The following is a 16,600-nucleotide window of genomic DNA, read 5'->3' on the forward strand; positions in this document are numbered from 1 at the left end:
AGGGAAGGACAGGCACGGTTGTGGCCTGATTCTCTCTCAGCCTCAACTCTGGCTATCTTGCCCTTGGCTTTAACAAAACAAATCTATTGACAATTTCCGAGCTCTATCAGCCTGTTTCTGGCTCTAGTCCCCATTCCTCCCCTGCCCATGGCTCATCTGGCAAATGTTCAAGACTCAGAAACCACCTATTCAGAAAATAATTTCCATGAACTGCCTCCAATTGACTGATCCCTCATCCTTCATTTGCTTTTTTGTTTTATTTACTTATTATTTATTTATTTTTTGAGACAGGGTCTTGCTCTGTTGCCCAGGCTGGAGTGCAGTTGTGCCATCACAGATCACTGCAGCCTCAACCTCCCAGGCTCAGGTAATCCTCGTACCTGAGGCTCCCTGGCAGCTTGGACTACAGGCGCTCACCACCATGCCTGGCTTTTTTTTTTTTTTTTTTTTTGCATTTTTTGTAGAGACAGGGTTTCACCATGCTGCCTAGGCTGGTCTTGAATTCCTGGGCTCAAGCTATCTGCCCGCTTCAGCCTCCCAAAGTGGTGGGATTACAGGAATGAGCCACTGTGCCTGGCCTGAAGAATCTGATTTTACACCTCGATGATAGAATATATCACACTACACGGCATGTGTCTGCATACCTTTCTTTTCCCAACTAGGTTGTAACCTATCTTTTTATATCCTTTTCTTTTTCTTTTTGTTTGTTTGTTTGTTTATTTTTTTTTTTTTTTTGAGACAGAGTCTCACTTTGTCGCCCTGGCTGGAGAGCAGTGGCGCAATCTCAGCTCACTGCAAGGCTCTGCCTCCTGGGTTCAAGCGATTCTCCTGCCTCAGCCTCCCGAGTAGCTGGGACTACAGGCGCCCACCACCACACCCAGCTAATTGTTTGTATTCTTAGTGGAGATGGGGTTTCACTGTGTTAGCCAGGATGGTCTCAATCTCCTGACCTCGTGATCCACCCGCCTCGGCCTCTCAAAGTGCTGGGATTACAGGCGTGAGCCACCATGCCCGGCCTTATTTTTCAATATCTAACACCAAATCTCACATACAGCATGACCCAGTGAACGCTTGTTGTATTGTTAGGTTGAATGAAACACAGGTAAATCTTTCCCACTAGGTCTTCTGTTGTTTTTGTTTGTTTGTTTGTTTGTTTGTTTGTTTTTGTTTTTGTTTTTGGAGACAGAGTCTCGCTCTGTTGCTCAGGCTGGAGTGTAGTGACGCAGTCTTGGCTCACTGCAACCTCCACCTTCCAGGTTCAAGCCATTCTCCTGCCTCAGCATCCCAAGTAGCTGAGACTACCAGTGCATGCCACCATGCCTGGGTAATTTTTGTAGTTTTAGTGGAGACGGGGTTTCACCATGTTGGCCAGGTTGGTCTCGAACTCCTGACCTCAAGTGATCTGCCCACCTCAGCCTCCCAAAATGCTAGGATTACAGGGGTGAGCCACCGTGCCTGGCCTCCACTAGGTCTTCTGTCTTCTCTTGGGTAAATTAAGGAGTTAGACTGGATGACCTGTAAGAGTTCTTCCAGGCTCCTCCTGCCATTGTTATGCTTTGAATGTATAGTTTAACTGTAACTCATGTAAAAATTATTATTTATAGATAACATCAGTAAATCTTTGATGTTTCAGGCCTCAAAATATGATGGCAGTAAAATTGATGGTTGCTTTAATAAATGTTTCCAGTTTATCCTGGTTTGGGGGCTTTTTCTTTGTTGTTGTTGTTGTTTTTTTCGGCTAAAGATAAAACACAGATGAAGACCATCAGGTAAAAGGTATGTTACTGCAAGTTTATATTGTACGTAATTACTTTAGACATTTTAATGTAGTATTTATATTTTTGTTTAAAGTACTTGATTATGGTTTTATTCCAATGGGAGTCTTTCATTTGCAGTTGTTTGGACTTTGTGGTATTCTTGTTTTAAGGATTTAAAAATCCATTCAATGGAGATCTTAGCTAATGTAGTACAACTGAAATAGTTTGGAAATCGGAAAATTCCTTTCAATCTCTTTGCCTGGTTTGGCTACCCCACAGTTTTCAGGTTCCAGTTGGAGATTTCAAGCACCTGTAAATGACATGAAATCTAAGCAAACTGAAAGTGTGGTTCAGGTCACTCACCGCCCAAGAAAATCTGCCGTTCATTCATTTCACTCATTTGACATATATTCATGCAACCCCTACCAGGTACCAAGCACTGGGAACACAATTGTGACAAGACAGTGGTGGTTCCCACCCTCAAGGATCTTAGTGTTTACCGGGGAGAAAAAACAATTAAACAATCAAGAAAAGGCCGGGGGCAGTGACTCACGCCTGTAATCCTAGCACTTTGGGAGTCCGAGGCGGGTGGATCACTTGAGGTCAGGAGTTCGAGACTAGCCTGGGCAACATGGTGAAACCCCGTCTCTACTAAAATACAAAAAATTAGCCAGGCATGGTGGTGGGCACCTGTAATCCCAGCTATTCCGGAGGCTGGGGCAGAAGAATGGCTTGAACCCCGGAGGTGGACGTTGCAGTGGGATGAGATTGTGCCACTGTAACCCAGCCTGGGCCACAGAGTGAGACTCTGTCTGGAAAAAAAAAATCCAGAAAAATACCATGTGTAAATGCTAGTAAGTTAAGAAGCTTCTGAGTGCAAGAAACAGAACACCCAATTCCAACTGGGTTAACAACAAAGGAAATTTACATATACCTGTGAAGTTCACACGTAGGATGGCTTCAGGAAGATTTGTTCCAGGCAGCTCAAAGCATGTGACAAGATCAAGCACTTTTTTCTCTTTATTTCTCAGCTCTGGTTCCATGACAAGCTCTTTTGTCATCACATTTGTCTATAATCCCAAGATGGCTGCAGCAACTCCTAAAGCTATGTGATTCACATATAGCAAGGAATAAGGAATCTGCCTCCCATTCCCGGCATCCTGACTAAAGTCTCAAGATGAATTCTGATTGGGTCAGCCTAGGGCATATCCCTACCCCAACCAATCACTGTGCACAATGGGAGGAAATATGTCGATGGGCTTAGCCTATATCATGTGTTTCACCCTTAGGGCCAGGGGTGGAGATTGTGTAACCAGATTGAAATAGAAAGGTGTTAGGAAAGGGGCGGGAGATGGGGGATGGGCTAGAACCCCACTAACGTTTACTACAAGTGCTGTGATAGAAGAAAAAGAAAAAGAAAGAAGAAAAAGAGTGCTTTGAGAGCAAGTAGTACTTTGGAAAATAGGATAGTGTAGCACTTAGGAGTAAGAGCTCTGAAGTCATACCACCTGTGTGTGAATGCCAGTTCTGCCAACTTACCTTCTGGCCCTGTACTCTGCCTCTTCAACTATGAAATAGAGATAATGATAGCAAGTTACTCCTCAGGTTAGTTTCAGGATTAAATGAGATAATGCATGTAAAGAGACTAAGACAATGCATAGGACTCTTAGCAGTTTTTATGTATTAGAAAAGGCTTCCAGGAGGAAGTGGCATTGACATGAAATCCCGAAGAATGAGGAAAAGTCATCTAAGGAAAAAAGAGGATTGGATTTTATGAGAAGCGAGGCTGGCCTCTCAATGTTTGGCCGTAAATGGAACTTGTACCACCTCAGAAGGAAGTATTTTTCGTCTCACTTTCTAAATGAAATGTGTAATGATTTTACCAGACATATAATTTCTATAATGACCAGTGAGAACTAGCTTCTAAGAAGGGCAGCAATGTGAAACTGGAGCTCAAGGAAAGAAAAAGTGGAAATAAAAATCAGTTTGTGCAGATTATTTTTGGAATTTGGCTTTCTTTTTTACAGGTCTGTGTATGTGAGCAAGCTCTTTGGATTTTGAGGGCATCTATCCAGCTATGTTTGGTAGATTTATAGCAAGAGACTTTTTTTTTTTAAAGGGGAAGAGGGAGCTTCCCAGTTAATTATTCATAGGTCATTGAAGCTAGTGAGAGGTTGGCCCCAAAGACACATAAGACCCAGTGAGGGCTGGGTGCAGTGGCTCACATATGTAATCACAGCACTTTGGAAGGCTGAGGCAGGAGAATTGCTTGAGCCCAAGAGTTTGAGACCACCCTGGGCAACATAGCAAGCCCTTATCTCTACAAAAAACAAGCAAACAAACAAACAAAAAACTAGTCAGGTATGGTGGCATATGCCTGTAATCCCAGCTCCTTGGGAGGCTGAGGTGGGAGGATCACTTGAGCCCAGGAGTTCAAGGCTGCAGTGAGCTGTGATCACACTACTGCACTCAGCTGTGATTGCACCACTGCACTCCTGCCTGGGTGACAGAGCAAGACCCTGTTTCTTAAAACAAAACAAAACGAACAAAACAAAACAAAAAACAACTGGTGTCCCCGCGTGTAGAGTCTATGATTTATGAGTCGTGAGTCAGAGTAGTGTGAACAACTACAAAGTGAGTCCATGGAAAGGAAATGAGCCATCTTCCAGGGAAAGCAAACCCCAACCCACTTATAATGGAGGTCAGGGAGGACAAACTGGCCTTAACCAAACCCCTTTCCTTCTCATGCTCAGATCCAATCTATACTGTGTCTATGGTTACCACCAGCAAGCTATAGAGGGCAGCCAGCACTCATTCAGTAAGCCTTTATACAGCCCCTTCTGTGGCTGAGGCCCTTCTCTGGGTACTTTGGAAAATAAAAAAATGTATCAAACACACACCCTTCCAGGTTCTCACCCTCTGGGAGTAGTAAGGATCGCTAGCTAACATTGACTGATCATGTCCCATGAGCAAACACTCCACTGACTGCCCTGTGAACATGGTTGTTACTATGATCGTCCCCATTTTACAGATAAGGAAACTCAAGCTCTGAGAAGTTAAGTAACTTGCTCCAAGCACCACAAGTGATCAGGGACAGAACCAGGATTCAAACTCATGGCTATCTGACCTCAGACAGTTTGCTTTTAACCCTGCCTGTGCTTTCTGAGTTGCAGAGACTCATTGTGGGGTTTGTGGGAAGTAGGTACAGCATGTCTATGGACAGCTGTGCTCTAGTTTCTTTGCTGGGCAGGGAAAATTATGAGAAAGTGTGAACTGCAATTGGCTGGTGTGGATTGCCAAAATGAATTGTTTTGACCATTTTCTGTCTGTTAGTCACAAAGATAGTTGAGATCTCATTTGATTCTTCATGGTGAATATTCATTTTCTTTCAAAAGAGTAATATTGAATATTGTAGTGCTCATTAGACATACTTTATTGATCCTCATATATATGCACAGAGTTTTTTCTTTTCTTTTTTTTTTTGAGACAGAGTCTCGCTCTGTCACCCAGGCTGGAGTGCAGTGGTGCGATCTCAGCTGACTGCAAACTCCGCCTCCCGGGTTCACGCCATTCTCCTGCCGCAGCCTCCCGAGTAGCTGGGACTACAGGCGCCCACCACCATGCCTGGCTAATTTTTTTGTATTTTTAGTAGAGACGGAGTTTCACCTTGTTAGCCAGGATGGTCTCGATCTCCTGACCTCGTGATCCGCCCGCCTCGGCCTCCCAAAGTGCTGGGACTACAGGCGTGAGCCACCGTGCCCGGCCTGCACAGAGTTTTTTCTAATCATAAAATTTAAATTCTGGTTGCTTTTATCTTGAGCCTTAAATACAATTTTAGTTCTATGATAGCTACTGCATTAGTCTGTTCTCGCATCACTATAAAGGACTACCTGAGACTGGGTAATTTATCAAGAAAAGAGGTTTAATTGATGCACAGTTCTGGAAGCTGTATAGGAAGCAGGGCTGGGGACGACTCAGGAAACTTACAATCATGACAAAAGGCAACGGGGAAGCGGGCGCGTCTTACGTGGCCAGAGAAGGACGGAGAGAGAGCAAGAAGGGAGGTGCTATACACTTTCAAACAACCACATCTCGGGAGAATTCACTCACTATCATGAGAACAAGGGGAAAATCCACCCCCATGAGCCAATCACCTCCCTCCAGGCCCCCTCCTCCAGCACTGGGGATTACAGTTCGACATGAGATTTGGGTGGGGACACAAATCTAAACCATATCAGCTACAAAACTATAAGCTTAATAGAGGAGTGAGGCACAGTGACTTACACTGTAGGCTACTTAGGCTGCAGTGAGTTATGATCATAGCACTGCACTCCAGCCTGGGCCACAGAGTAAGACTCTGTCTCTTAAAAAAAAAAAAAAAAGGAGAGTCACGTAAGTTTCACCAATTAAATGTGCATTATTCCCCACTGTAACTCATATTTTACAAGTAAGAATTTTCAAAGATCCTCTGTGTGTATACCTGTGTATGTGTTTGTGTGTGTGTGTGTGAGAGAGAGAGAGAGAGAGAAGAAAATGGTTGTCTCATTGAAATATTAGTAAGTTTGAAAATTTTTCTGATTTTTTTTTTTAGGGCATAAAAACAGTCATTTCTCCTCCTTCCTTTCCTGATTCATGTTTTTATATATAGTAAACTTACCGTTGCTAAAAAAACATTTGAAACCTTTATACTGCCACTTTAACAGTATTTCAACAGAGCCATAATCTTCCTGATAAAGTAAAATTACACTGGTTCTTAAGAAAACATACCAAGCAAGGACTATCTCAAGAATGTGTAAGTGTTCTTAATCTTATTTCCTGACCTCTTTAAAGAACAGATATTCATTTAGTTGAAATTCCCTTTGGCAACTGTTAATGCAGTTTCTGGATCTTCCAAGAGAGTAACCTGAGTTTTTTGTTGTTGTTCATAGCATATAGAGGTGGTTCTCAATTTTTTGTGTTTGCTGAACACTGCTGAATATAGATTTGGGGGTGGCACATTTGAAGTGATTAAAGTACAAGTACCTCACTATTCTGCTGCCTGGCTGTCAACAAAGTTGTTATTTGAATAAGTCTATCGACATGTTATTCCATCACACTGTGGATGCTCAGCTGGAGACCCTAGCTGTGGATCCTCTGGTGTAGGGGTGCAGAGAATAGGCTTTGCAGTCATGCACGTGAATTTGAATTCCTGCTATGCCATTTGTTTAGCTGAGTGACATTGAACAATTTGCTTAAACTCTCTGAATTTCACATTCATCAAAGAATCAGGGCAATAATACCTCCCTTATAGAACTGTTGTGATGATTAAATGAAATGATTTATGGAAGGTACTTAAAACACAGTGATCTCTCAATAAATGCCTGCTATTGTCAAGTATCAGTCTTTCAGATGTTTTTTAAAGGGCCTCATCTTTGTGATCAGTTCAACTGCCTGTGTCTACACTACTGACTTATTCAATGATCTCTCCACTAAAGCCTTCTATTGTTGTCTAACAGTGCACTCTAATAATCTGCAGTCCCAAATTAGTTATGGTTATTGATAGTGTTGGCCTCTTGAGGGGTATGAGTCCCATGAATATCTAGACCGATGAGGTTGTTCTTTACTACCCTCCCTTACCTCTTAGACAGGGGTTACTGATACAGGAGCTAGAAAGAAATTATTTAGGCAGATAGTAAGGGCAACAGAGCCCTCTGCGGAATTTCCCTTTTTTAAAAAAAGCAGCTGCTGGATCATTTATTTTCTAACAAAGAGTAGCCTGAAAAATCGAACTGCAGACATAGATAAGCAAGCTGGAAGCTTGCATGGGTAAATGCCAGCAGCTGTGCCAATAAAAAAGGGCTACCTGAGGGCCAGGTATATTCAACATGGAGGCTCCATCCTCCCTTTTCTTTGTCACCACGTGTATAGTAAAGAACCAGGTAACATAGCATCTACCAAGTAGAGAACTCATCTGCATAATAAGAGATTAGGGGTCCTGGTGCAGTGGCTCATGCTTGTAATCCCAGCACTTTGGGAGGCTGAGGCTGGTGGATCACCTGAGGTCGGGAGTTCAAGACCAGGCTGACCAACATGGAGAAACCCCGTCTCTGCTAAAAATACAAAATTAGCCGGGGTGGTGGTGCATGCCTGTAATCCCAGCTACTTGGGAGGCTGAGGCAGGAGAATTGCTTGAACCCTGAAGGCGGAGGTTGCAGTGAGCAGAGATCACGCCATTGCACTCCAGCCTGGGCAAAAAGAGCGAAACTCAGTCTCAAATAAATAAATAAATAAATAAATAAATAAATAATAAGAGATTAGGGTGGGACGCCCAGCTTCTTCACGTGCTGTGCAAATGGCACACCTGGTCCAACCAATCTTTTGTGCCCTATGTAAATCAGACACCGCCTCCTCAAGCTCATTTATAAAACCTGCATTTCACTGCAGAAGTGGCAATCCATTTTCTCCAGGGCCCCTCTCTGTTCAGAGAGCTCTTTCTTTTGCCTGTTAAACTTCTGCTCTGAACCTCATTCTTTGTGTGCCGGCGTCCTAGTTTTCCGTGGCCATGAGACCACGAATCTCAGGTATTTACCCCAGACCACAGTGCTGCTTCATTACCACGTTCCTGATTCCTAAAGGCCCAGGGCAGATTGAACCCTAAGTTCAGTTTCTACTCTAGGTGAAATTTTAGGAAACTTCCTGTTGGGACAGGAGTTTGCTTCAAAATCAAGGGCTCTGGCCAGGTGGGATGGCTCATGCCTGTAATCCCAGCACTTTGGGAGGCCAAGGTGGGTGGATCACGAGCTCAGGAGATCGAGACCATCCTGGCTAACACAGTGAAGCCCCATCTCTACTAAAAATACAAAAAATTAGCCGGGCGAGGTGGCGCGCGCCTGTAGTCCCAGCTACTCGGGAGGCTGAGGCAGGAGAATGGCTTGAACCCAGGAAGCCGGGGTTGCGGTGAGCCGAGATTGCACCATTACACTCCATCCTGGGTGAACAAGCGTGAAACTCCGTCTCAAAAAATAAAAATAAAGAAAAATTGTGCAATGAAGAAATTTGGTTACCCTATAAATTAATAACTAGAATTATAGTAATAGTGAATGTCTATTAAGCATGTATAATGTGCCGGGCACTATGCAAAACACTCTACATGTATTTAATGTCATTTAACCTCGGGTCCAATAAGGTAGATATTATTATTCCCCTCATTTTGGAGATGTAGACACTAAGGCTTGAGGGATTTGATGGGATGACAGAGGATCAGAACTTAAATCCCATTGGAGTTCACACTTTTTACCACTCAAATTTTTTTTTTTTGAGACGGAGTCTCACTCTGTCACCCAGACTGGAGGGCAGTGGGGCAATCTCTGCTCACTGCAACCTCCACCTCCTAGGTTCAAGCGATTCTTCTGCCTCAGTCTACTTAGTATCTGGGACTACAGAAGTGCACCACCATGCCTGGCTAATTTTTGTATTTTTAGTAGAGATGGGGTTTTGCCATGTTGGCCAGGCTGGGCTCGAACTTCTGACCTCAGATGATCCGCCTGCCTTAGCCTCCCACAGTGCTGGGATTACAGGCATGAGCCACTACACCCGGCCTTACCACTCAATTTTGCAGCTTCTTCAATAGATGTCCTTTTGTAGGGTAATAATCTGTTCTTAGAGGTTGCATTCTCTTGAAATGGGTATCTTTTGGATTATCTCTTTTTGCGCTTATTTCTTCAGACTTCAGTACAAAGGCTTGTTTAGATGCAGTCAGATTGACTTGGTGATGTCTTTCCATAGCACTACCTGTGACGTGTTATGTTTTCAGGCTCAAAATTCTTTTTAACCCAACAGGCTTTGCCATGTGGTAGGAAAAAAGAATGAGCTACTACCATAGCTAAAACACAGAAGCAACCCAGGTGTTCATCTGATGAATGGATAAGCAAAACATGATCTATACATACCAGGGAATATTATTCAGCCTTAAAAAGGAAGAAAATTCTGAGATATTTTACAACATGGGTGAACTCTGAGAACATTATTCTAAGCAATAAAGCCAGTCACAGAAAGACAAATACTATATGGTTCCATTTACAGAAGGTACCTAGAGTCATCAAACTCATAGAGACAGGAAGTGGAATGGTTGCCAGGGACTAGGGCGAGGAGGAGAGAGTGTGGAGTTAGTGTTTAATGGGCACAGAGTTGCAATTTTACAAGATGAAGAGCTGTGGCGATGGATTGCGGTGATGGCTGCACGTCATGAGTGTATTTAATACCACTGAACAGTACACTTAAAAAAGGTTAAAGCTGAATGTAGTGCTGCTCGCCAGTAGCTCTAGCTACTTGGGAGGCTGAGGCAGGAGAATTGCTTGAGCCCAGAGGTTTGAGGCTGCAGTGAGCTATGATTGTGCCACTGCACTTTAGTCTGGGTGACAGAGCAAGACCCTGTCTCAAAACAAAAACAAACAAACAAAAAATCACACCACTGCACTCCAGCCTGGTGACAGAGTGAGATTCTGCCTCAAAAAACAAAACAAAACAAAAAAAAGGTAAGATAATAAATTTTATGTGTCTCTCACGGTAAAAAAAAATTTAAGACAAAAAGAATATACTGGGAGTCATGCTGCTTGCTGGCTTGGCCTTGAGCAAACCGAAGGCTGTAGGCAAGTCCCCCAACCTCTCTGGACTTCCAAATCCTCCCTTGAAAAGCAAGGTCCTCCCCAGCACTTAATCCTGGGAGCTATTCCTCCAGGATCTCCAGCTTTCTCCCTTTTAAAAATGGAAAGGACCTCCCTAGAGTGATATGTTTTGTAAATTTAATTTTGGGACTTTATTTCTTTTCTCAGAACATGTGTCTTAGAAGATGAAACAGAGAACTAAGTTAACTGTCCAAAATGATTCAGACCAAAAAGAAGTGCTGATAAGGCCAGGTGCAGTGGCTCACACCTGTAATCCTAGCACTTTGGAAGACCGAGGCAGGGGAATCGCTTGAGCCCAGGATTTCGAGACCAGCATGGGCAACATGGCAAACCCTGTCTCTACAAAAAAATACAAAAACTAGCCGGGCATGGTGGTGCATACCTGTGGTCCCAGCTTCTTAGGAGGCTGAGGTGGGAGGATCGCTTGAGCCCAGGAGGTTGAGGTTGCCATGAGCAATGACTGCACCACTGCACTCTAGCTTGGGTGACAGAGCGAGACTCTGTCTCAATTAAAATAATAATAACAAAAAAATGCTAAGAAGTCAAATTTTTAGCCTTGCCTGACATATCTGACCTCCCTTGACCAAATAATGCAATCTCTGTTGTCCTACTGTCTTGCCTGGAGGACTGAGCTAGATGCAATCAGGTCTTCTGGTGTCCAGATGGTCATTGTAACACAATGTCTCTGGCAACCACAAGGAGAAAAATACAACCTTTGAAGCTGAGTCCCAGAAGACAGAATCTTAATTGAGAACAGTAGAAAGAAATCCATTTCAATAGAAAATTATCCATAGTTTAATGTGGATTTGTCTGTAATTACTCCCAAGGAATTCTTCACTTATCAAAGTCATTGTGCCTAAATTAGATAAGTCATTTTTCTCAGAGAAACAAGTTGAGAAAGCAGAAGACCACACCCAAATCAGGAATACTTGGCACAGCAGAAGCAGCGTGGGGTGGGGCTGGGGATGGAGGCAGGTGAGTCTGATGATTCACTCACGACCAGAGCAGGGCTTGTCAAAGCATCGACATCCGCCCTGTCCCTGGGCTCCTGTTTCCTCAGAGCACATAATCAGGGGCCTTCAGTTCCAGGTGGTCTGTTTTCCCAATCTACAATGCCTGTTGTAACATCTTATCCCTCTTCCTCTTTCCAATTTCCTCTCCCCTTCCTCTTGACCATTTCCCCTTCTCCTCTCTCCTCCTCCCCAGTAACCCCTCTGCATAAGCACGCTCACATATAGTTCCATAAAGCCAAATCCAAGACTCAATCTTTTATTATATGAGAAAACTAAAAACAAGAGTGAAACATCAGAGATTATTTTCCAACATAATAGAATTTTCATATCAGAAGTATATCTAGCAAATCCCTACGCAAATCTCTGCGTTTGACCATTGAGTCAACAGGCCTGAGGAGCTTTTGTGATTGTCTCCAGTTGATATACAACTAAAGTAGGAATTAAAACCAGGGCTCCCAATACCCAGACATTCTCCACCACCATCTGATGACAGTAACACCTTAGACATGTATAAAGTCTGCACTGTAGAAGCACACTTTCCCATATGGGACTCAGCCTAGGCATTAGGCCAGCTGGCTATGTATGACTCCTATTATTACTTATACAAACAATAAGGCTAAGAAAGTGAGTGTCTTCCATTGGGCCACCTGTCTATTAAGTGGCAGAGGCAGGGCTTGAACTCTGGAGTCTTGGGCCAACTGCTGTCTTCCATTGCATGCTCACACTTGTATTTTAGGGTCAAAGGTGCACACACAAATTTATGCATGGCAACAGAAATGATCTGGTTCAAGTAATAAACTCCTAAGTGTGAAGTTAATGCCATAAAATGATTCTGGGAGAGTCTATTTGCTCAGATGGTGCTTCCTGGCTCAGCCTGGAAGCATCATGGCCAGTCTGGATACATTCACCCAAAGTCTCCTCTTAAATTTAGTACTCTGTCTTTAGGGCCTAAGTATTTCATCTGTTTTATCATCAATCTCATCCTGAAACTCAGGATAGAGCGAGCAGTTGCAGTCTAGGGCAGGAACACCAACAAAGACATGAAATATCTGTCAGAGTCCATGATTCCTTGAGATCCACAATTGTGATAGCATTCAAATGATACTCAAAGCTGTTAGGAGACCTAGGTTGTAACATGCGTTTTTTCCACTTAGTGCTATACATATCATAAATGTTTCCACACCCACAAATCTATTTCCATAATGGGATTTGTAGTAGGTGCATAGGATTCCACCGTAGGTGTGCCCTGTATTGTCTGTAGCCAATCCTGAGTTGTTGAATTAAGGTTGTCTCAGATTTTTTATGTTACTAACAGAAAACCTCAGTAACATCTAAGTCATTAGTTATGACTCCTTTCCTATTTGAAGACAATATGAAAAAGTTGGAGTATAGAAGATCAGATTGATGTAGGCTGACATATAGACCTGTATGGTTTCCTCCAAAACACCTTTTCCCCGGAAAGCTGTTTGTTCAATATTTTGATTGGTGCTGTCTAAAGGGAGCTCTTATTTATGAGAAAAAGAGAAGCTGATTAGTACCCCACTCATGAGCATGCATTTATTTAATTAGTCAGTTATGGAATGTTTATTGAACACTGAGTTATGTCCACTGTGCTAGTCATGTGCTAGGCAAAGATGGCCTAAGACAGATTCAAGCTGGGCGTGGTGGCACATGCCGTAGTCCCAGCTACTTAGGAGGCTGAGGTGGGAGGATTGTTTGAGTTTGGGAGGTTGAGGCTGCACTGAGCTATAATCGTGCCACTGCACTGCAGCCTGGGTAACAAAGCCAGACCTTCTCTCAGAAAAAAAAAAAAGACACTTATATCTCGGTTAAAGCTCGCAATCTGGTGGATGAGGTGCTAGTGTACGTTTCAGTCTTCCCTCCTGGAGAATGAGCTGCCCAAAGGCAAGGATGAAGCTGGTCCCCTCTCTGCTCACCTGGCACCTACTTCAGCAATCTGTTCCTTGGAGTCCAAGATAAACATTTACTGAAGGGATGAGCACATTTAACTTAAAGTGAATGATTGAAGCCACTTATTTTCCAAAATTGAGAAAAGAACACAGGGTTATGTGAGAGGGAAGTAACTCAACTTCTTTCCTGCTTTAGAAGAGCCTGAGGTTGAGACTTACTGGGAATTATACAAGAGCATTTCGTCTCTTGTGTTGGCTTGCTTATTTTTACCTTTTATTTGTTTTGGGTCCCATCCAGTCATGAGATTAGTTACCGGCAACTCAGTTCCTTGTTACTAAAGACTTAAAGATAACTAATAAAAATCTTAACAATATTAACATTAAATGATTGTTAATGTATACACCAGGCATGTTATCTATTACTAGTTCCATTAGCTTTAGTATTCCTAATAACTTTCTTTTATCCATAAAGATTGTCCAAAAGCGAATAATTAGAAGAAAAATTTTATAATTGGCCAACTGAAATTTAAATGACTCCCTGTTTTTTTTTTTTTTCTTTTCCTTTTGAGACGAAGTTTCACTCTTGTTGCCCAGGCTGGAGTGCAATGGCGCAATCTTGGCTCACTGCAACCTTTGCCTCCCAGGTTCAAGTGATTCTCCTGCCTCAGCCTCCTGAGTAGCTGGGATTACAGGTACCCACCACCATGTCCGGCTAATTTTTGAATTTTTAGTAGAGACAGGGTTTTGCCATGTTGGCCAGGCTGGTCTCGAACTCCTGACCTCAGGTGATCCACCCACCTCAGCCTCCCAAAGTGCTGGGATTACAGACATGAGCCACCATGCCTGGCCTGTTTTTTGTTATTTTAAAAGATAGAGTCTCACTCTGTCGCCAAGGCTGGAGTGCAGTGGTGCCTTCATGGCTCATTGCAGCCTCGACCTCCCAAGCTCAAGCAATCCTCCCGCCTCAGCCTCCTGCGTAGCTAGGACTACATGCATGTGCCACCACTCCCGGCTAATTTTTATTTTCATTTTTAGTTTTTGTAGAGATAGGGTCTCACTATGTTGCCCAGGTTGAGAATCCCTGACGTTTTATTCATGTTTTAGAAAAAAGTTTTAAACATCTTCCTTAGGAACAACCTTATAAACGTTTTAATTTTCATTTATAGTGAAAGAAACTTGTCTCTCAAGCTTTCTAAAAGTAATTTTGAGAAGTTACTATAAATAACCTAGTTACAGGGCTGGGTGCAGTGGCTCACACCTGTAATCCCAGCACTTTGGGAGGCCGAGGCATGGGGTGGATCAAAAGGTCAAGAGTTTGAGACCAGCCTGGACAACATGGTGAAACCCCGTCTCTACTAAGAATACAAAAATTAGCCAAGCATGGTGGCATGTGCCTGTAATCCCAGCTACTCGGGAGGCTGAGGCAGGAGAATTGCTTGAACCTGGGGGGTGGAGGTTGCAGTGAGCAGAGGTCATACCACTGCACTCCAGCCTGGGTGACAGAGCAAGACTCTGTCTCAAAAAAACAAACAAACAGAGGAGGAGCCAAGATGGCCGAATAGGAACAGCTCCGGTCTACAGCTCCCAGCGTGAGCGACGCAGAAGACGGTGATTTCTGCATTTCCATCTGAGGTACGCGGTTCATCTCACTAGGGAGTGCCAGACAGTGGGCGCAGGTCAGTGGGTGCGCGCACCGTGCACGAGCCGAAGCAGGGCGAGGCATTGCCTCACTCGGGAAGCGCAAGGGGTCAGGGAGTTCCCTTTCCGAGTCAAAGAAAGGGGTGACGGACGCACCTGGAAAATCGGGTCACTCCCACCCGAATATTGCGCTTTTCAGACCGGCTTAAAAAACGGCGCACCACGAGACTATATCCCACACCTGGCTCGGAGGGTCCCACGCCCACGGAGTCTCGCTGATTGCTAGCACAGCAGTCTGAGATCAAACTGCAAGGCGGCAACGAGGCTGGGGGAGGGGCGCCCGCCATTGCCCAGGCTTGATTAGGTAAACAAAGCAGCTGGGAAGCTCCAACTGGGTGCAGCCCACCACAGCTCAAGGAGGCCTGCCTGCCTCTGTAGGCTCCACCTCTGGGGGCAGGGCACAGACAAACAAAAAGACAGCAGTAACCTCTGCAGACTTAAGTGTCCCTGTCTGACAGCTTTGAAGAGAGCAGTGGTTCTCCCAGCACGCAGCTGGAGATCTGAGAATGGGCAGACTGCCTCCTCAAGTGGGTGCCTGACCCCTGACCCCTGAGCAGCCTAACTGGGAGGCACCCCCCAGCAGGGGCACACTGACACCTCACACGGCAGGGTATTCCAACAGATCTGCAGCTGAGGGTCCTGTCTGTTAGAAGGAAAACTAACAACCAGAAAGGACATCCACACTGAAAAACCATCTGTACATCACCATCATCAAAGACCAAAAGTAGATAAAACCACAAAGATGGGGAAAAAACAGAACAGAAAAACTGGAAACTCTAAAACACAGAGCGCCTCTCCTCCTCCAAAGGAACGCAGTTCCTCACCAGCAACGGAACAAAGCTGGATGGAGAATGATTTTGACGAGCTGAGAGAAGAAGGCTTCAGACGATCAAATTACTCTGAGCTACGGGAGGACATTCAAACCAAAGGCAAAGAAGTTGAAAACTTTGAAAAAAATTTAGAAGAATGTATAACTAGAATAACCAATACAGAGAAGTGCTTAAAGGAGCTGATGGAGCTGAAAACCAAGGCTCGAGAACTACGTGAAGAATGCAGAAGCCTCAGGAGCCGATGCGATCAACTGGAAGAAAGGGTATCAGCGATGGAAGATGAAATGAATGAAATGAAGCGAGAAGGGAAGTTTAGAGAAAAAAGAATAAAAAGAAATGAGCAAAGCCTCCAAGAAATATGGGACTATGTGAAAAGACCAAATCTACGTCTGATTGGTGCACCTGAAAGTGATGTGGAGAATGGAACCAAGTTGGAAAACACTCTGCAGAATATTATCCAGGAGAACTTCCCCAATCTAGCAAGGCAGGCCAACGTTCAGATTCAGGAAATACAGAGAACGCCACAAAGATACTCCTCGAGAAGAGCAACTCCAAGACACATAATTGTCAGATTTAAAGTTGAAATGAAGGAAAAAATGTTAAGGGCAGCCAGAGAGAAAGGTCGGGTTACCCTCAAAGGAAAGCCCATCAGACTAACAGCGGATCTCTCGGCAGAAACCCTACAAGCCAGAAGAGAGTGGGGGCCAATATTCAACATTCATAAAGAAA

The 16,600-nt window shown here is 44.0% G+C and overlaps 1 annotated feature.

Moving 5' to 3' along the window:
• Window positions 15,119-15,772: an enhancer, noted in NCBI's record as "OCT4-NANOG-H3K27ac-H3K4me1 hESC enhancer chr18:535941-536594 (GRCh37/hg19 assembly coordinates)". NCBI's record gives its function as "activates a minimal SCP1, AML or CMV promoter by ChIP-STARR-seq in naive H9 embryonic stem cells {active_cell/tissue: H9 hESC(naive)}" and the evidence as "EXISTENCE:reporter gene assay evidence [ECO:0000049][PMID:30033119]".

The sequence above is a fragment of the Homo sapiens genome, chromosome 18, assembly GCF_000001405.40.
Source record: "Homo sapiens chromosome 18, GRCh38.p14 Primary Assembly".
NCBI lineage: Eukaryota > Metazoa > Chordata > Mammalia > Primates > Hominidae > Homo > Homo sapiens.